General features: G+C 44.9%; 1 protein-coding gene across 3 annotated transcripts in view, besides 1 other annotated feature; it reads left to right on the forward strand.

Annotated features, from left to right (window-relative positions):
* The window catches only part of PRKCB (protein kinase C beta), a 384,629-nt gene that overhangs the window by 128,482 nt on the left and 234,406 nt on the right, over positions 1-21,741 (forward strand). The gene's annotated exons all lie outside the window — the stretch shown is intronic.
* Positions 3,518-3,647: an enhancer, noted in NCBI's record as "active region_10594". NCBI's record gives its function as "activates an Ori minimal core promoter by ATAC-STARR-seq in GM12878 lymphoblastoid cells {active_cell/tissue: GM12878}" and the evidence as "EXISTENCE:reporter gene assay evidence [ECO:0000049][PMID:35858748]".

Raw genomic sequence — 21,741 nt, forward strand, 5'->3', positions numbered from 1 at the left:
GAAAAAGTTTGTCAGCCTCTGGTCTAGAACATTGCCTGGCTCTTGGTAAGGTTAAATACATGTTTGGAACTTTTTATTTATTGAAAATAATATACATTTTGTTCTCCACCTAACCTTTTAAGGTAAGTATTGTTATCCCTGTCCTAGAGATGAGAAAACTGGGACTGGAATTCTGTACTGTCACTTCCAGGGGGCAAACACCTCATGAGGTTTTTTTTTTTTTTTTGGCAGTCTTGCTCTGTCTCCCAGGCTGGACTGCAGTGTCGCGATCTCAGCTCACTGCAGCCTCTGCCTCCTGGGGTTCAAGTGATTCTCCTGCTTCAGCCTCCCCAGTAGCTGGGATTATAGGTACCTGCCCCCTCTCCCCGCTAATTCTTGTATTTTTAGTAGAGATAGGGTTTCATCATGTTGGCCAGGCTGGTCTTGAATTCCTGACCTCAAGTGATCCACCCGCCTTGGCCTCCCAAAGTGCTGGGATTACAGGTGTGAGCTACCATGCCTGGTCTCATGAGTCTTGTTCATCACTTACCTCCTTTTGTTCTTCCAGCTTCAGTTTCAGGTTCAGGGGGTACATGTACAGGTTTGTTACATGGGTAAATTGCATGTCCCTGGAGTTTGGTGTACTAATGATTTCATCACCCAGGTAGTGAGCATAGTACCTGATAGTAGTTTTTGATCCTCACCTTCCACCCTCAAGGAGGTCTCAGTGTCTGTTGTTCCCTTCTTTGTGTCATGAGTGCCTGATGTTTAGCTCCCACTTATAAGTGAGAATATGCAGCATTTGGTTTTCTGTTCCTGTATTAACTCACTTAGGATAGTGGCCTCCAGCTGCGTCCATGTTGCAGCAAAGAGCATGGTTTCATTCTTTTTTATGCCTGCATAGTATTCCATGGTGTTTATATACCACATTTTCTTTATCCCATGCACCGTGGATGGGCACCTCCGTTGATTTCTTGTCTTTGCTATTGCATCACTTACTCTTGAATCTGGAGCAGTGCCTAGCACATAATAGACATTCAGGACATGTTTGTTGAGCAATGAATGGATGAGTTAGGAATCAATTACATATAAATCAATAATCAATAATCATCAATGATGAATTTCTATGAACAAATATGAAAATTAGATCGGCCGCATTGTAGAGATGAGGAGACAGCCCTGTAGAAGGAAAGTGCCTCATCAAAATGCAACATCGCTGTGAAAGTGTAGACTTGGAGCTCCAGCTGAAGTCATCTGTGTATTTTCTAAGCTGTCCCCTCTACCATCCTGCCTTCTCCGGGAGCTGCCAAAGTGCAGCGCTGATGCCTCCTCTCTCTGTCCCACAGCCTGACTTTTGTTCAGCTCCTGCTTCTCTTCTTCACCAACTGCCAGCTTCAGCTGCTTTGTGGCACCCTGGGGCTTGAAGCTTCATTTCTGGTGCTGTGGCACCACAAAGCTCTGCCCCAGTGTCACTTGAGTCCAAGTAGATCAGCCAAGTTTGAATGATCTCTCTCTTGGCCACTTCAGTCTATGAAGCTGGAGTTGAGACCATCTGTGATTTTACACATTCGTTACAGCAAAACCAAGAGGGCCATGGGGTAAGAGGGCCATTAAGCTAGAGGCTGAGCAAAACTCTGCTCTTGAAGCACCTTCTGAGATGGCTTCTCATGGAACGTCTGCGCAAAGTGGCTTCACATCCAATTAAGTCAAAGATGCATTAAATGAATCCAGTTTGTAACTGCTTCCAACCATGAAGTCACAGTTCCATCTCTTGCCCTGGGAGGGGCTTCTTTCAGGCTCTGAGGACTGGAGCCCTGGAGACTTTATTGCCTTACGGTTTCCTCCTCTACCATCAGATGTTTCTTTTTCATGTGTTCTGGCCTGGATTTGAATAGACTGCCTGGATTTGAATGCTGCCTTCACCTCTTTCTGGTGTGTAATCTTGGACAAGTTACCTTCTTTCTCAGTGCCTCAGTTTCCTCTTCAGTACAATAAGGATAATAATAAGACCTACCACATAGCTGTAGAGAGGATTAAAGGAGCCAATATGTGGAAAGTATTTACAACAGTGTACTGCATAGTAGCTTTTCTATAAGTGATTATTATTATTATCCCTTCGAATCTAAAATCCCTCTAGTTTGTTTCAGAGGAGCAAGGATTGTGTCTCGCCTGCCTTTAAATCCCTTTAAGTTGGGTGTCTCAAGCCCAACCATCTGCAGGAGACTAGAAGGGGACTTACATGAGTGAATTGAATCAGGTGTGGATTTCTGTGAACTAGAGAATGCAAGGCTGTCTGAAAGGGGAACTATTCCTTATTCATGCATCACATATACACTGGTGTGCCAAGCCCTGTTCTGCATCTGGGGACACAGCAGAGAATGAACCGGGCAAAATTCCCTGCCCCCTTGGAGTTGATGTTGTAGTGGACTAAGCTCTGATGACTCTGTTGCTGCATGAGAATGTGGGCCCACTGCTGACAAAACTTCTGATTTTTCTGTAAGAAAAGCCGGAAACCTGGATTTGTAAAAACCGTGAACTCTCCTAGCTTAAGAATTGGCAGTGGTTTCCATTTTTTTTTTTTTTTAAAGCACAGTACATGCTGTGAACCCAAGAGCCAGTTTGCAGCCCCTGCCTTAAGACACTCCTCTAATTGCTCTGGGAGGAGGCCTGTCTCTGCCCTGCAAATCAGCAGCTGGTCGGATTTCAAGGTCGTTGGTGTGGAGGGCGCCTCCTCCCTCTCCTGCGTGGAGGTTATTGTGGCTTTTTCTGCCCACAGAGCAGATGACGCTGCCACCAGGCAGTGAGTTAGAATATTCCTTCTCTTATCCTTCCTTTTGGATGGTGGCCTTGGCTGGGTTCCCAGCCCCCTGACAGCAGAAGACAAAAGGATGGAAGCAGCTTCCTCATAGTCACCCATGGGGGCGATAGGGTGGTGATGGTGATGTGGAGAAAATGCATTGGGTCAGGACAGCCACCTTTGAAGCCAGAAAATTAATGATCTCTGTTGCCTGAATCTTTTCAAAGTGGAGAAGTAATTTAAAAGCTTGTGTGGGAAGGATTGAGAATGGGATTGAGAAAAGAAGTTTAGGTTGCTATCAGGAACAATTCCTAACAGCAGGAGGTTTTTGGAGAGGCAGTGGTGAAATTCCTTGGAAATTTTTGTGTGGTGTCTTTTTTTCTTTTTTCTTTCTTTCTTTCCTCTTTTTTGTTTTTGTTTTTCTTTTTTTGAGATAGAGTCTCATTCTGTCACATAGGCTGGAGTGCAATGGCACAACCCCGGCCCACTGCAACCTCCACCTCCCAGGTTCAAGAGATTCTCCTGCCTCAGCCTCCCGAGTAGCTGGGACTACAGGCACCCGCCACCATGCCCAGCTAATTTTTGTATGTTTAGTAGAGACAGGGTTTTGCCTTGTTGGCCAGGTTGGCCTTGAACTCCTGACCTCAAGTGAGGTCCACCTGCCGTGGCCTTCCAAAGTGTTTGGATTATAGGCGTGAGCCACTGCGCCGGGCCTTTTATGGTGTCTTTGAAGTGCTTGTTTAAATTTACATGTGGTTGCCTCTCAGTGGGGTGCATGCTCTCTGGTTTTCCCCAAGCCCCACCACTCCCTGTTGTGCTTTACCCACTTGCCTGACTTAGTTATGCTTACTGGCCTGGCCTTTGTGGGTCTTTGAGTTTGTGCCTTCTGCTCTGAAGGAAGCATGCTTGAGATGATGGAATCTAGGTTCAAACCTACCTGCCCTATCTGCCCTTTACTGACTTGTGTGACTGTGGACAAGTTCCTCCACCCCTGAGGTTGTCAGGACCCTGCAGGAAATAGAACCATTCAGGTGGCTGCAAGAAGAAAGTTTCATGAAAGGACTATTTAGGGAGACTTGGGCAAGGTTAAGATTACAAATAAGGAATGTGGAAGCACCTAGGGCCTTGCAACAGCAGGAGGCGGTTACCGTCTGTAAAGAGGAAGAAGCAAGCGGAGGGAATAGTTTGGAGCCTATTGAGAGCTGGGGCTAAGAAGGAAGGCATCGCCAGCAGGAACCATGGTCCTGGAGGGATGAACCGCTTCCCAAATAGCAGTACCGAGGCAGGGAGGAAGAGGGGGAAGAAACACCCCAGCTTCTCTTCACCTCTCCCATTGCCTGTTGGCCTCACCCACTGGCTGAACCCAGCTGGAAACCAGAAGGACCAGATGATGAATTCTGTAAGGGTCAGCCTTTTGGGGCTCAGCTCACAGCAGAATCAGAGAGAAAAAAATGGATCTGAGAGGTGAAACAAGGAACAAGCAGCACGTAACTCTCAGCTTCCCTACCTTGAAAGTGGAGGAGAATGAGATAACTGACCTTGGAAGGTTATTGGGTGGCTCATGTACTCTCGAAGGGAAGGGCCTGGTCAATATTAAGTACTCATAAATGCTGAGATTCAGTGTGGGTTTCAAACCGTTTCTAGGAGCTAAAGGTCCTGAGAAAGGGCTTCAGTTTCAGTATCAAGAGACATTCTCAGGTGGGCAGATCTCTTGAAGCCAGGAGTTCGAGACCAGCCTGCCCATCATGGTGAGACCCCATCTCTACTAAAAATACAAAAATTAGCTGGATGTGGTGGTGGGTGCCTGTAATCCAAGCTACTCAGGAGGCTGAGGCAAGTGAATTGCTTGAACCTGGGAGGCGGAGGTTGCAGTGAGCTGAGATCGCGCCACTGCACTCCAGCCTGGGCGACAGGGTGAGACCCTGTCTCAAAAACCAAAACCAAAAAGACATTCTCCTCCTTCCCCTGCAGTGGGGCCCACTGGGAATGGTTGCATCTTCCATGGGGAGTTTAAAGTGAATGTGTAGTGGCTAAGAGCAAAGACCCTAGAACCAAGTAGGTGGACACTGTGGTAGTCCATCAGTGTGGTAGACACTGATCTTTCTGTTACTATAGATTAATGGCCTTGTACAGTATGCACTATTTTGTGTCTGCCTTCTTTCACTTAAAATAATGTTTTTGAGACTCACGCATGCATGTGCCTGTATTGGAGTCTATTGAGAGCTGGTTTCCAGTCCTGATTGCCACTGACAGTCAAGTTACTTAACTTTTCATGCCTTATTTTCTCATCTGTAAAATGAGGATGTTAGTAGTTTCTACCTCATTGGGTTCTGAGGATTAAAATGAGTTAATCTACGTAAAGAGCTTAACACAGTGTCTAACACATAGTAGACAATCAATAGATGTTAGCTATTGTAATTGCCATCATCGTCATCATCATCATCATTATCATCATCATCGTCACCATCTCCATGGATCAGCTCAAATCAAAACTGACCCATTGTCAATAGAAAAATTCTCTGTGGGATGAAGTCCATGCCACCAGGCCTCTCGGGAACTTCATTGATCATACCATTATCTTCTCATCCTCCCACAGATATGATATTTCAGGGAGTGATTGATAGGTGTGTGTGTGTGTACGTGGGGAAGGGTGGGCTTGTGCCTGACTCCAGGGACAGAGTGCTTTGTTATGCAGAATAGCTTGCCTGTCATCCCACTACAGGCCCCTTCCTTGAAAAGTTCCAGGCTATTTTTGAGCCCTCATGGCTCACATGTTCCTTTCTACATCATGTCAATGCCAGTACAGAAAAATTGAAACCTTTTGGCAGCATCTAAAGCAAAAGAGATTTCAAAGTGCATGGAGGATGAGTGTTGCTCAAATGACAGGGTATTAAAACGTGACAAGAAGGCTGAGTTAAGAGACTGCAGGCAGCTTGTGTGTTTGTATTTGGACCTTGCTGGATTTCTTGGGAAATCAGTGGAGTTGTCCAAGGTTAATGTCATCTCCAAGAAGGCACCAAAGGGTAGTAACACTCCTTCACCCTCATTTGTACATACACTCTGCAAGAGCGGAAGATGATGCAGCCAGTGGAGTGGGCGGTTGTCCCAGAGCACCACCTGGGCTCTGAGCTACAGGATTCTGCAGGGGAAAGCACCTGAGGACAGAGTGAGGTGGGTTGGTGCCACCTGGGAGCTCCAGGCTTTTGTGTGCTGATGTGCAGGCAGATACTGGAGCCAGACCGAATTGTGTGCGAAATGTGGGTCTAAGAGTGAAGGCACCAAACCCTCACTTTTTTTACTTTCATTCAGCCTTCCCATTTTTCTTCAAAGGGCAGAATATGACTTTGGAGTCAGGTAGACCTGAATTCAAATCCCTCTTCTTCTTCAGTGAGTAGCTAAATCTTTCCAATGCTTTATTTAAAAGGAATCACGATCACACTTTCAGGGTTGTTGAGAGGTTTAGAGATTGTGGTGTTACAGGGCCCCTGGGGCTCAAAAGGTGTTTGCTGAACCCCTGTCTTGTGTTAAATAGTCACAATAGTCCCAAGGGGAGGATGAACAGGTAGCACTGCCATTTCATAAACAGGTGACTGAGGTGCAGAGTGGCTTATCCATAATGACACAGGAGGTGAATGCTGGAGCTGGATTGAAGGCTGAGTCATTGGACTCTCCTCTGAGGGAGGCAGTACAGAGTAGTGGTCAGGGCTTGACCAACCTCTAGAGTCCATGGGCAGATTTTCTGGGCCTCTGGCTTAGTTTTCCTCATGCATAAATGGAATGTGGGGATTATAGTAGATGTACTTTCTATGGTTGTGAAGGTTACATATACATGAGATAATTCTATAAATTCTTAGCATGTGCTTGAGTTACAGTAAATATGCAATGAAGTATTCACTACTGTTTTAGTATTATTTTTATTAGAAGCCGTGGCAGTAGTTACCATCATTGTCACCATCTCCATCGATCAGCTCTAATCAAAACTGACCCATTGTCAACAGAAAAATTCCCTGTGGATGAAGTACATGTTGTAGGTGTAGCGGGCAATCGTGATCGCCATCAGAAATTCATATTGGGGTTTGGTTTACAAGTGTTGGCCTCTGGGAGTGTTTCCTACGTGCTCCTTCTCTCCTCCCCTTTGAGGACGGATGGTGTGATGGTTCCTCTCCATTTGGTCCCTCCTCTGGGACCAGCATTCTCCTGCCTTCTTTGTCCTACTCTGTGTCCCAGGAGGTAGACCCCTGTGGACTGTATCTCCTGGACTCCCTTGCTGGTTGACTTTTGTCTGAGTTAAGCCAAAGGGAGGTGGCAGCAAGAGACGAGAAGGTGGGAGGAGAGAGAGTTTGGGGTATTTCCACCTGCAGCTCCCTCTGTCCATCTCTGGCCCCGCTCTGTGATGCTAGCCCCCGCGAGGTTGCCCATCTCTCAGGGTTTCCTCTCTTACTTGCCCCTGTTACGTCATTTCATGGGACTATACCTTTAGCTTTAGGTGCAGAACAGTTTTCCACAGTTAAATGTCTTTAATTGAACATCTAGAATGCAAAACATATTATAAGATAATGTGTTGGATTGTTTTCCTTTAAAAAATGGTACAACCACTTTGCAAAACAATGGCAGTTTCTTATTAAGTTAAACATAGAGTTACAGTATGATACAGCAATTCCACTCCTAGGTATTTATCCAAGAGGAATTAAATTGTATGCCCACACAAAAAATGAATGAATAAATTAAGACTTATAAATGAATGTTCATAGCAGCTTTATTCATAATAACCAGATACTGTTAAAAAAACCCCAGAATATTGATCAGTAGATGAATGGATAAGCAAACTTTAGAATAATCATATAATGGAATATTATTCAGCAGTAAAGATGAACTAACTGCTAATACAGACACGTGCATGCGCGAGTCTCAAAAACATTATTTTAAGTGAAAGAAGGCAGACACAAAATAGTGCATACTGTACGAGGCCATTAATCTATATAGTAACAGAAAGTGGATCAGTGTCTACCACAGGCTGGGGGTGTGTACAGGGAAACTTTTTAGGTGGTGCCCATGCTCTGTATCTCAATTTTGGTGGTACATGCGTATAATACATTTGTATTGTCTTGTATCAAAGTATGCCTCATGAAGTTCAGGTATATGAAAATTTGTATTTGCTTTATTATATTTAAATATCAGAGAATGCAAAATTGTAAAAAGAAAAAGAAATCCTGAAAGTCCTTTTAACTAGAGACAACCACCACCATCCACATTTTATCTATTTCCTTTCAGTTTTTAATTTTTTCCTGTACTTAGGTTTTCCCCTTCACTGTCTTATTTAAATAAAAAAGAAAGCAAATGGAAAGTCTCCCATACGAAGGCCTTTTTGCTATGAGTTTACCTTGTCTAAGGGCATCTAGCATGATGGTGAGAAGGTTTTGTCTTGTATAACTAAAATGTATTGGGAGGAAATGAAAATGTTTAGCCTGGTGAAGGGGAAACATTGGGGAGAAAAGTGAGGGAGAGTGTGGTCTACAGTCGTGAGCTTTAAATCACAACCAATCAGCCAATTAAATACTGAGCTCCTGTTATGTGTCAGTATTAGGAAGACAGTAGTGAACAAAACATATGGCTCCTCTGATTTAATGGAGTTAACAGTCTGGGAGGGAAAGATATTTTTATTATTTGCAACAACAATAGTAATAGCTAATATTTATGATGAGCTAGTGCCTATTATGGTGTTAAGGTTTAGTTTTTTCTTTTAGTGTTTTTAATGTGTTGTCACATTTAATCCCAGCAACTCCATGAGTAGGTACTCTTAATTCTCATTTCATGGTTGAAAATAATAAAGTGGCTTGGAGATGTTAAGTCAAATGGGGTCATACAGTGAGCATGTTAAACCTAGACTGGCAGGTCAGGACGGAAGTGATATTTAATCCTCAGTGAAATGATTTTTTTCTTTTTAATTTTTATTTTTATTGAGACAGAATCTCACTCTGTTGCCCAGGCTGGAGTGCAGTGGCACAATCTTGGCTCACTGCAACCTTCACCTCCCGGGTTCAAGCAATTCTCCTGCATCAGCCTCCCAAGTAGCTGGGATTACAAGCACCCGCCACCACGCCCGGCTAATTTTTGTATTTTTAGTAGAGATGGGGATTTCACCATGTTAGCCAGGCTGGTTTCTAACTCCTGACCTCAGGTGATTCACCTGCCTCGGCCTCTCAAAGTGCTGGGATTACAGGCGTGAGCCACCGGGCCCGGCCTCTTTCAGTGTTTTTAATGTGTTGTCACATTTAATCCCAGCAACTCTATGAGTAGGTACTCTTTTTATTCCTACTTTATGGTTGAAAATAACAAAGTGACTTGGAGACATTAAGTCAAATGGGAACATACAGTGAGCATGTTAAACCTAGATTGGCACGTCAGGACAGAAGTGATATTTAATCCCCAAGAAAATAATATATTTTTTTTCTTTTTTTGAGACAGGGTCTCACTCTGTTGCCCAGGCTGGAGTGCATTGGCATGATCACGGCTCACTGCAGCCTCGACCTCCTGGGCTCAAGTGATCCTCCCACCCCAGCTACCTGGGTACAGGCATGCACCACCTTGCCCCGCTACTGTTTTGTGTTTTTGCAGAGATAGGGTTTTGCTGTGTTGCCCAGGCTGGTCTCAAACACCTGGGCTCAAGCAATTCACCTTTCTTGGCCTCCCAAAGTGCTGGGATTACAGGCGTAAGGCACTCTGACCAGCTGGAAATGATATTTAATCTGATATCTGAAGGATGATAGGAGTTAAACAAGAATCAAGTGTCAGAGACCAGAGATATGAGGTCTCATATATATATATTTGCTCAGGGCAGGGGGCTGGTTTTGGGTGATAATTAGGGGCTAGACTGAACAGAATTAGTGTTTGGAAGTGAGTGGTGGTGGTGGTGAGGGAGGAGAGAAGGGTGAGTCCCAGGGTAAGGGATGCAGGCACATCCTGAGAAATGAGGCAGAAGAATGAGAACTTGGCTTGGGGCATGTTCTGTTCATCTGAATGGTGGTGCTGAGGAGACAGGTGGACAGAGAGGTGTGGGGTTCAGGGAGGAGCACAGGACTGAGAGGGACCAGCAGGAATAGAATTCCTGAAGTCCCTTGGATTGACAAGATGCTTCAGTGAGAGAGAGTCCACAGGGTAGAGATCAGCACCTAGGACAGAGCCTCGAGAACTTCCTCTAGGATAGGGAAGGGCTGGAGAACAGGAGGAGGAGCCAAGGAGAGGAGGAAGGGGCCAAGAGGGCAGGATCAGGACTGAGGCAGGCCGACTTCTGCGCAGTTGAAGAACTCTAATGTCAGAGCTGTCCTTAGGAGGCAGAGAACCCCTCGTCCTGGAAGAGTGCAGGGAGCTGCTTGGTGACCATCCTTTGGGGATGTCATGGAAAAGATATTTGCATCAATCTGGGGTGAGATTAGGTGTCTGGATTGGTTCAGGTTCTTTTGTCATTTGTAAGCACACAAAAGAACTCTAGTTATCTAAAGGAAAAAAAAAACTGGAAATATTATGGGTTGGCACACGAGTGGTGCCAGGCCTCAGAGAGTACAGGGCCCAGGGTGGCTCTGGGGATCTGGGTGGCAGGAGCGAATGGATGACCTTCACAGGGTGACACCATCGGGAGGAATCAGCTCCAGCTGTTTTCTGTCCTTGTCCCAAGAATCAAATCCCAGGGAGAACAGTGTGATTCCCCAATGTTGTGAGGTTCAGTCATGTGCAAGGGGAAAGCCGGGCACCTCGATTGACAGCCCCACCAGGACTGCATACCGTGGAGAAAGGATGGCTTCCCAAAGAAAAACAACATTCCAGCTACCAGAGAAAAGGGAGTGGACGCTGGGCAGGCAAAGCCAACAGACACTTTTTGTAGTCTCCATGGTCCTGTGTATGATTCAGTGATTTTTGCAGTATTCACTTAGCAAGTCATTCCTCGTTGCAGAATTGTTGCTAGTGTTTTTCCTGGCTGGGGATTAAGCTTTTTCCATTTGCCTATTTTAGAGTGAGTTGGGGGCCTGGGATTGACACGCATTTGTCTCTGGGCTTCAAGGTAGCCCAGAGATTATGCCACCTCAGGAGGCACAATTTGGTGGCTGTCACTCCTTGTCATGTCAACAAAGGGTGTGGCTTGTGGCTCTGTGGCCTCTGCTTTACCAGCAAGGGGAGGATGCTGGTAGTAGCAAAGGGTCTAAATCGCTGTTGCATCAGCGAGGTGGATGTGCCTATCCTAAAGGCACCTACTGAGAAGATGCCCAAGTAACAGACACTCATGGGCACAGTAGACCTGTCAAACCTCATAGTTCCTGGCTGACTCTCTTTGGGTGACCTGAGTCACACGCCCACGCCTGAACACCCACTGAAACTCCTAGGTGCATTACGTCTTCTGCAATATCTAAAGGAATTAAGGGAAGGATGAAACTCTGTATCTCAACTTTCCTGAATTCACCAGTATGGACTGATGGAATTGAGTGCTAGTAACACCAAGCTCCTAAATAATAATAATAAAGGCTTACTTATAGGAACGTACGAAGCACAAGAGAAATAAGGGCCCCCACGGCCCACCCTTCAACTTCTCACATTTGGTTTGTTAGTCAGGACTCCTTTGGTCACAAGAGACAAAAAAAACAATTCAAGTTGGTTTAGGAAAAGAGGCATTTATTGGCTTGTACAGAGGAGTTGAGAGTTCTTTAGGTCTGGCTGGATTTAGGTGCTCCAGCATGGTCATGGGGCATCTCTTGGCTCAGCTTTTCTCTGTGTTGGCTTCATTCTCAAAAAAACTTTTCCTTGGTGATGGTAAAGATGGCAGATGCAGCACTTTGGGAGCCTGAGGCAAGAAGACCACTTGAGGCCAGGAGTTCGAAACCAGCCTGGTCAACCTAGTGAGACCCCATCTCTACAAAAGAAAAAAAAATTCAGGTGTAATGGTGTGCACCTGTAGTAGCTACTAGGGATGTTAAGTGGGAGTTGCATGAATCCAGGTGCTCAAGGTTGCAGTGAGCCATAATCGCACCATTGCACTCCACCTTGGGTGACAGAGTGAGATTCTGTCTCAAAAAAACCCACAAAAACCGCCCCCCCAAAAACGGATGGCAGATGCAAATTTATTCCCTACCAGTTTAACAACTCTGCTGGAAAATAAACCCTCTTTCCTAATAATTCCAGCAAAAGTCCTGAAGCTGATTCTCTTTGGGTGTCCTGAGTCACACGCCCATGCCTGAATCCCCACTGTGGCCCAGGTCCCATGTCCACCCTTAGAGCCAGAGGATGAGGGCAGCCTTAGCTGGCCCACACAATCAGTGAGCCAGTGAAGAGCGATTCCTCACAGGAGAAGCATGGAGGATGGGTGCTGTCAGGCAGAAACAAGACATGCCACCACACTTGGTTTTGGGGTTAGGCCTGCTTCTGGTCTGAGCAATCTGCTGCTGGATATGGCTGGTGAGTGAAGAGATATTGATGTGTCATCCCCTTAGACCATGGCATTGTGTCCTGCTCTCTGCATCTTTGGGGGCCTGATCAAAAGCGGGAAGTCATGGGGTCAAGGACAGTCTCCACGTGCCACCCAAACAGGAAGGATGTCCCCAGCAGGTGTTCTGCTCAGGGTCTGGCTCTCCCAGGGTTGTTACTGCAGAGGGAAGGGTAGGGGCAGCTTTCTTCTGGTGGATTTATTTACTTCTCAGGCCTGTTCTTTTCCTCATGTTGGCTCAACTGTTTTATCTTGCTTAGTTAAATAAATTTGGTAACATTATAAAGGAAAACAGTCTTTTCCGGCAGTTGCTGACCACTGCAAAATTACTGCTCTTTCTTTTGTTTTTCCTTTTTAGTGCTGGGCTGTGAATAAGCAAATGAAGTTTGCTATCTCTTCCTCCCCTCTTCCAGGAAGAAATAATCACCATCAGAACTTTAAGAGTTTCCCATAAGACTGGGCAAATTAGAGGAAGGACCTCTATACGGTGGAACAGATGCAATTGTGCAAACAGAATGGGGTTATTCTCTACATATGGAGATGGAACAGACCCTCCCAGATGTGTTAGTGTGGGGAAAAGCAGGTGGTGGAGGTGCGTTCAGAGTAGCAGTGTTCAGCTCTCCCAAGCACATTCAAATCACCCAGGAGCTTTTAAAACGTACTGATGCCTGCCCACCACCCTCTCCTCACAGCCCCATTAAATCAGAATCTCTGGGAGTGGGACTTGAGCACTTTTCATTTTAAAAGCTCCCTGGTGACTCCTGGGGAGCCAGGACTGAGAACTAGTGCTGTAGAATTGTATATGGGCAAAACAGCAGGGATCTAGATAAAAAAAGAAAACTGAAGTAGGGAATATCTCAGTCCGTACCTACAGATAGCCTCACACATGTGGTCGCGCATACAGAGAACGTCTCTAGAAGGATACACAGGAGACTGGAAAGAACGGTTCTCTCCAGTGATGAAGTACAGTGGTGATTCTCAACTGTATACTCGTTTGTAATGTTGGAATTTTGAAGCCACAAGCATAAATGCTCACTGTGTACTGAAAGCTGGCCAGACAGGGCTGTAAGATGACCCCTGAACTCTAGCTTGTCTGTGTTGGGGCCGGCTGCCCACAGATTCACACAAACCATCTCCCTGCCCGTGGTCTCTGCTTGCCCTCCTCTACTCAGCTGCAATGAGTGGTTTCCGAGTGTGGGAGAGACCAGAAGAGCTCATTCATTCATTCATTCGCTCACATTTTTAGTAAGAATTAGGTATAAGCCAGGCACGTGGTAGGCACGTGAATCTGATCTCACCTTCACAACCGTATGTGAAATTGGTGGTCTTATCTCCATTCTAAGATTGGGGATATTTTAACACAGAAATTCATACAACCAAGCTGTAAATATTTGAGGCCGAATGACCAGCTAAGAGAGCTTATAAACTGGCAGCACTTAGATGTGTTTGGATGGCCTGTACAGAACTTTTTAAAAAAATCCTATTTCACGACTCTGGACCAGTGAACCCAGGGCCACTGTTGGCTAGAGCTGAGTGTCCCTTGGAAGGGCATATGCCCCTCAGTTCAGCGCAGTCCCCCCATATCCCTTCCCTTCTGTGTCACACCAGCCTTGCATCACTCAGTCACAGGCCTAGCCTCTGCAGGCATTTGCGTTTGTCACCCCTGTGTTAAGGTAGGTAGGATGAGTGAACTGTCGTCTGTCCTGCAGGGATGCTGAGCTGAAGTGTCCTGTGGAATGTGCCATTTCTATTCCAATCTGGCCCTCTGTCTGCTGGCTGGAAAACCAAGCTCCTTTGCTTTAAGTTTCATTTGTGGACTGCATGGGATGGGCTGTGGGTATTGATTTGTTTGTGGAAAAGATGTGCACAATAGGGAATGTGTAAAATACATCATGGAAATGGATGGTTAATGCCGCCTGGCTGGAGTGTGGGGCAGTGGAGTGACAAGAGATGAGAGTCAAGTTAGATGGTGGGGTATACTGTGGGTAGATGCCGGGCTAAGCATTTTGAACTTTAACCTTTAGGCTACTGCTGTCCAATAAGACTTTCTATGGTGCTGGAAATTTCTTATATCTGTACTATCCAATGTTGTCTCCAGACGCATGTGGCATCAAGCACTTGAAAAGTAGCTGGCATGAATGAAGATTTTTATTGGCATTTTAGATTTTATTTAATTAATTTACTTTTACATAGCTCCATGTGGCTGGTAGCTACCACACTGGGCGCTGCAGATTTAGGCAATAGCAGTGGATGTGTTGGAGCAGGGAAATAATATCAAAGCTGAATCTTCAGAAGGTGATTTTTCCAGGAGTGTACAGGCCGCATGGGGTGAGCAGAAGTAGGTAGGGATAATATTGACACTTCTTAGCATCTATTAGGCACTTCTTGTGTCCACACACTGTGCTAAGATAACTCACTTATTCCTCATAACAACTCTATGAGGAAAGTACTATCATTGTCCCTATTTTATAGACTAGAAAATGAGACACAGCAAAGACAATGGGCATATTCAAGGTCACACAGCTAATCAACAGTGGCACACGGTGTAGAATCCAGGCAGCTCAGCTGTAGAGCTTGTACCATGAATCCTTCCATCCTGGAAGGAAATAAATGAACCTTCATTGAGAATATACCTTCTGCTGTCCCCTGGTGCTGGGCATTCACACGTAAAATCTCATTTAGATTTTTGTTAACACTCATGTGCCATTCGGTGGATTTAGATCCTTTGTGTTTATGGAAACTTGGGCTCATAGGGATGAGATATCAAGGCAACTGCAATCTCTGTGGACACCAGTTAAGGCTTTATTGTAAAATTCCATGCCTGTGGGGGAAATCACAGGCTGTGGGAGTCGGGGGGAATGTACAGGAAGATATGGCATAAAAGGTGTTGCGAAGGAAGAATCAGTGGGATTTAGCAACTGACTGAATGGCGGGGGTGAGGAAAGCGGGGGAGGCTTTCTCCTGGAACAGTGAGATGAATGACAAACACACATGTAACTGCACTGTGTGAGTTGAGAGTGTGGGCTCTAGAGGAAGACAAACTGGTTTCAAATACAAGTGTTAACACGGACTAGCTGAACAACCTTGGGCAAATTACTTCTCTCCGAGCATCAGTGTCCCTGTTAATATAACGAGGACCGAAGGCAGGAGGATCACTTGAGGTCAGGAGTTTGAGACCAGCCTGGGCAACATAGTGAGATCCCGTCTCTAGAAAAAACTTAAAAAATTAGCCAGGCATGGTGATGCATGCCTGTAGTCCCATCTACTCAGGAGGCTGAGGCCAGAGGATCACTTGAGCCCAGGAGTTTGCGGCTACAGTGAGCTGTGATTGCACCATTGCACTCCAGCCTGGGTGACAGAGCAAGACTTTGTCTCTATAAAAGATATAATGAGAATCATAGCACCTTCCTCACAGGACTGTGATGAGGCTCAGGTTAAGCACGGATATGAAAGCCCTTTGCAAACTCAATAGCATGACCCTGTGAGTCACTCTTCTTAGTGCTGGTGAGACCAGCCATTGGGCAGAAATGGTGACCAGAACTTTCTGTCTTTGATCATGGAAACAGTTCGGGAAATTGCCTGGGGGAACCCCACTTCATCTTAGGTACTTGGTAGAGTTTAATGCGGATAAGTCTGTGGGTCAGCTTTGACCTAGGAGGAAAGAGTGGTTCTCCCAGCAGCTGTAGAGCAAAATCTGCATGCCAGTGGCTCCAACTTAAATGCCCTTTTCCACCAAACAGTTTGCATGTGTTGTCTTATTTGAGCTGCACAACAACCTTATATACATAGGTACTGTGATAAAATAAGGCTCAGAGAGGTGGAGACACTGAGCTAATGTCCTTCAGCTTATAGGTAGTAAAATGAGTGTTCAAACGAAGGTCCTCCTGCTTCCAGAAACTTAGCCTGTAATTCCTGTAGGTGATGGGCTTCTCATTTCTTCTCCTACCACAGATATCTGCAACTAGCGCTAGAATTTCTATCCCAGATTGACATGGATTTAAGGGTAAAGGTTGCTTCCTAAGAATGTCAGTTTTCCACTATAGACCCCAGTAAGAATTGTGTACAAGAGGGGAATCGACTCCAAACAGAATATATATATATATATGATTTAATTTAGTCCTCTTTGGAATGCAATGAGTAAATTTTAGTGGTTAGAGTAAACCACTAAAATTTGGGAGTTAGGGGTGAAGTGCAGTGTGAAGCAGAGTTGAGATCTCAGTGCTTTTCCTGGGGCAGAAACATCCGAGAGGGCCCCTGTCACCCAAGCTTTTGGCTACAGTCTACTCCTTCCATCTGGGATTAACCAGGCGTTTCTTATCCTTGCTGATCTAGTGTTTCTTATTGCTGCTGTAACAAATTACCACAAATTTCCTGGCCTAAAATGGCACACATTTATTATCTTATACTTCTAGATGTCAACATTCTGAACAGCAGGTCTTCCGGGGCTGAAATCGAGGTGTCAGCAGGGCTGCCTTCCTTCTGGAGGCTCTAGGGGACAATCTGTTTCTTACCTTTTCTAGAGGCCACCCACATTCCTTGGCTTGCGTTCCCTTCCAGAAATGGCACAATTCCAACCTCTGCTTCCATCATCACGTCTCATCCTCTGACTCCGAGTCTCTTCCCTCCCTCCTATAAGGACCCCTGTGATCACACTGGGCTCATCCAGATAATCTAGTATAACCCCCTTTCTCAAGATCCTTAATTTAATCACATCTGCAAAATCAATTTTGTCATGTAAGTAATATATTCACAGGTCCCAGGATTAGGACACGGATATCTGGTGGTGGTGTCAGGGGGTCGGGGGTAGGGGATGGGAACATTATTCTGCCTACAGAGCTGGCAGGTGGCCTTTCTTCTTTCCTTTCTTTTCCTTTCCTTTCCTTCCCTTCCCTTCCCTTTCCTTTCCCTTTCCCTTCCCTTTTTTCCCTTTCTTTTCTCCTTCCCTTCCTTTTTTCCCTTTCTCTTCCCCTTCCCCTTCCCTTCCCCTTCCCTTCCCCTTCCCTTTCCCTTCCCCTTCCCTTCCCCTTCCCTTCCCCTTCCCTTCCCTTTCCCTTCCCCTTCCCTTCCCCTTCCCTTCCCCTTCCCTTCCCCTTCCCTTCCCCTTCCCTTCCCCTTCCCCTTCCCTTCCCTTCCCTTCCCCTTCCCCTTCCCCTCCCCTTCCCCTTCCCTTCCCCTTCCCCTCCCCTTCCCCTTCCCTTCCCCTTCCCCTTCCCTTCCCTTCCCCTTCCCTTCCCTTTCCCTTCCCCTTCACTTTCCCTTCCCCTTCCCTTCCCTTTCCCTTCCTTTTCCCTTCCACTTCCCCTTTCCCTTCCACTTCCCTTTCCCTTCACCTTCCCCTTCCCTTTCCCTTCCCCTTCTCTTTCCCTTCCCTTTCCCTTCCCTTTCCTTTTCCCTTCCCTTCCCTTTCCCTTCCCCTTCCCTTCCCTTTCCCTTCCCTTTCCCTTCCCCTTCCCTTTCCCTTCCCTTTCCCTTTCCCTTCCTCTTCCCTTCCCCTTCCCTTCCCCTTCCCTTCGCCTTCCCTTCCCCTTCCCTTCCCCTTCCCTTCCCCTTCCCTTCCCTTCCCTTTCCCTTCTCCTTCCCTTCCCCTTCCCTTCCCTTTCCCTTCCCTTTCCCTTCCCCTTCCCTTTCCCTTTCCCTTCCCTTTCCCTTCCCCTTCCCTTTCCCTTGCCTTTCCCTTCCCCTTCGCTTCTGCTTCCCTTCCCCTTCTCTTCTCTTTTCTTTTTTTTCTGGAGTCAGGGTCTCATTCTGTTGCCCAGGCTGGAGTGCAGTGGTGCTAACACAGCTCACTACAGCCTTGATTTCCCAGCCTCCCGGGTTCAACCAATTCCCCCCACCTCAGCTTCCCAAGTAGCTGGGACCACAGGTGCCCACCACCAAGCCTGGCTAATTTTAAAAATTTTTTAGAGATGGAGTCTTGCCATGTTGCCCAGGATGGTCTTGAACTCCTGGGCTCAAGCAATCCTCCTGCCTCGACCTCCCAAAGTGCTAGGATTATAGGTGTGAGCCACTGCACTCAGCTGCAGGTGGCCTTTCTGATCTTGCCTGTAATAAGGGAGGGTGGGAGGTGGATAGAGCCGGAGACATCTTTTTCATTCTCTGCTGGAGCTGAGTAGCAATTTCCCCTTTTAAACAGGCCATGTGTGCAGTCCCCTACCTGGCCGTCAGACATTTTCATTGCTCACCTGGCCCCTAGGCATTTGAGTTTCAGACCCCATTTTGTAGTTCTAGTAAAGCCTTGCTATAGACTGGGGTCAGAGGGCTGCAGGCTTTCAACCTTTGTAGAGCAAGGGGTTATTGAATAAATTATGAAGCATCTGGAGATTCTGGGCTCTTAACTGGGTACCTGTTTGAAAGTAGGGTCTAGTACATTTTTTTCAGTAGCTCAGTAAATGTTGCCTCTTCTTAAAAAAAAAAAAAACAGAAAACAAAAACTGGTCTTACTCTGAATTTGCCAAATAGAAATGAGGGGGCGTTTATTTGTGTCACAAAAGGATTTGATTTCTTTAAATAGGCAGCCCTACTATTTTCTTCAAAGTGTTTTAGTTAATGGGAAATTTGATTTGCACAACTTTTCAGAAACACACTGTGTAAAGGAATTACCTGCACCAGAAGCTCATGAGGTTTTTCAAAGTCTGTTCTCAGCTTCTCTGCACATCATGCTGGGGTTCACTTGGCCTATTGATTCTGCCTCAGTGGGGATGGACTATTCATTTCTGTGGGTAATTGGAAGCCTACCTAAAGTGACCTTGTCAATGGTTGGATTGACAAATATCCAGGCTGGTGGGATGTCAGGCGATCATCCAGGAGCTACATCTACCATGAAGTTGGTTATGTTTTCTCCTTTTTCTATGACTGATGATATTCATTTTTTGGTTCATTCATTCACCAAACATTTATTTACTGAATATCAATTATGTACCAGGAATTGTGGTAGACACTAGGAGACTAGAGATGAGCTATCTTTATCCCCTTCTGTCTCCAAAGGGGATAAAGATGAATAAGATAATAATTGATTTTTTTTTTTGAGACAGAGTCTCGCTCTGTCTCTTAGGCTGGAGTGCAGTGGCGTGATCTCGGCTCACTGCAGCCTCTGCCTCCCTGGTTCCAGTGATTCTCCTGCCTCAGTCTCCTGGGTAGCTGGGATTACCGGGGCCTGCCACCACACTTTGCTAATTTTTGTATTTTTTGTAGAGAATAACTGATATTTTAGATGTTTGGAAGAAAGGTTGTAGAATAAAGCACCTACTTGAAAATGGGGGAAACTACTTTCCTAAATATTTCTGGGTCAAAGAATAAATTAAAACCATACTAATAGACCACTTAGAAACTTGATACAATGATGGGACTAAATATAAAACATAGGATGCAGCCAAAACTGTACTTAAAAGAGGGTTTTTAGCCATAACATCTTTAAATGTTTAATGAAGAGGAATGGGAATAAATTAATTGAGCAGTCAATTCAAGAAGCTTTAAAAAGAACAGTGGATAATATTAGCTGACATTTGTAGAATAGTCATGATATGGTTGGCATGGTTCTGGGCATGGAATAACTCATTTAGTTCTGACAACACCACTGTGATATGGGTCCTATTGTTGCTGTCATTTTCCAGAGAGGAAACTGAAGTACAGGAAGATGAGGTAGTGTACCTAGTCTTAGAGTTTGCAAATGATAGACACAGGATATACACCTGATCATCAGACTCCAGAATTCACATTCCCAACCAATAAGTAATACAAATACAAGTAAGCAATACAATCACAGACACACAGAACAAAAAAAGTTAAAGTAGCAATTAATAAAGTAGGCTAAAACCAGGTAGAGTTGATAAATATAATCATAATCTGCTTCTTTAACATGATAGAAAGATAAAAATAGACAAGAAAGAACACAAACTTCTGGAAAAAAAATAACGAGAGACTACCTAACAATGCAATATGAAGAAAGAAACAAAGAAAGAGAAAAGGTGTAATATCATCCCAGATAAGATGCTACAATTTAAACACGTTGAGAAGAACACTGTGGATAATTTCCAAGGAAAATATAAATTCCAAAAGTTTGTTTGAGTAGAGGTGAAAAACTTTCCTGTGTGGTTGAAGTGTAGAGAGGGAGAGGGAGGTGAAGCTGGGGAAAGCTCAGGGATGGGGCGAGACTATGCTGTCATCCCTTTACTTTCATGTTGAATAAAAGGGAAAGTTAAACATGGAACTACGACAGGGGGAAAAGAGAGAATAATAAAAATATTATTTGGGGTAATACGGTTTTCTATCTGGAAAACTCAAAGGAAGCAACTAAAACTCCACAAAAGCTATTTGAGTTTTTTTAAAAAATGCTTTAAAATAAATATGCTAACAATCTATTGCTTTCCTATTGTTTTTGTTTGTTTGTTTGTTTTGTGTTTTGAGATGGAGTCTCGCTCTGTTGCCCAGGCTGGAGTGCAGTGGCATGATATTGGCTCACTTCAACCTCCGCCTCCTGGGTTCAAGCAATCTACTGCCTCAGCCTTCCAAGTACCTGGGACTACTACAGGCACCTACCACCACGCCCAGCTAATTTTTTTTGTATTTTTAATAGAGACGGGGTTTCACCATGTTGGCCAGGCTGGTCTCGAACTTCTGGCCTCAAGTGATCTGCCTGCCTCAGTCTCCCAAAGTGCTAGGATTACAGGCATGAACCACTGCGCACAGCTATTTGCTTTCCTATTTTTAAACAATGACCAGTTGGGAAACAAAATGAAGACATGTCAAATTTACAATAGCATAAAAAAGAATCCCTTAGATGATGCTAAAGGGAAAATGTGTAGGACTTATATGGAGAAAATAAGAGTTCAACAAGGGGACAATCATTTCCTGATGGAAAGACTCATTGTTGTCAAGGCATCAATTATCTTGAATTTAATTTCTAAATTTAACACAATTTCAATCAAAGTCCCAATCATTTTTTGGAGGCTGAGGGTTGACTGAATACAATCCCAATAAAAATTCCATTGGTATTTTTAAAATCTTGATAAACTGATTCTAAAGTTTACTTGGAAGAATAAATATGCAGTGATAGCCAAGAAAATGTTGAAAATAAGGATAATGAGGGTGGACTTGCCCTGCCAAGATATAACATATTACAGAGCTACTATAATTAAAGCCCATATTGCTATACTAGAAGACAGATCAGTGGCACAGAATAGAAGGCCCAAAGACAGACCCCAGTATATATAATTATTAAACATATAATAAAGTTGGCATTTGAAATCAGTGGGGAAGGGATGAATTATTCAATAAAGGATGCTGGGACAATTGGTTACCTCTTTGGAAAAAAATGGCAAATTGGATTCCCATTTCACATCAGATTCCAAGAAATTAGACATGGATCAAAGAGTTTAAAGTGGAAATGATGCCATATAAAAGTACAAAAAAACTCCAAAGAGTAATATTTATATGACCTTGGAGCATGAAGAAGGCTGTTTGAGGTGTACTTGGACTGTCTTTCTTTGTCCAGTTTTCC

This window comes from Homo sapiens, chromosome 16, assembly GCF_000001405.40.
Source record: "Homo sapiens chromosome 16, GRCh38.p14 Primary Assembly".
NCBI lineage: Eukaryota > Metazoa > Chordata > Mammalia > Primates > Hominidae > Homo > Homo sapiens.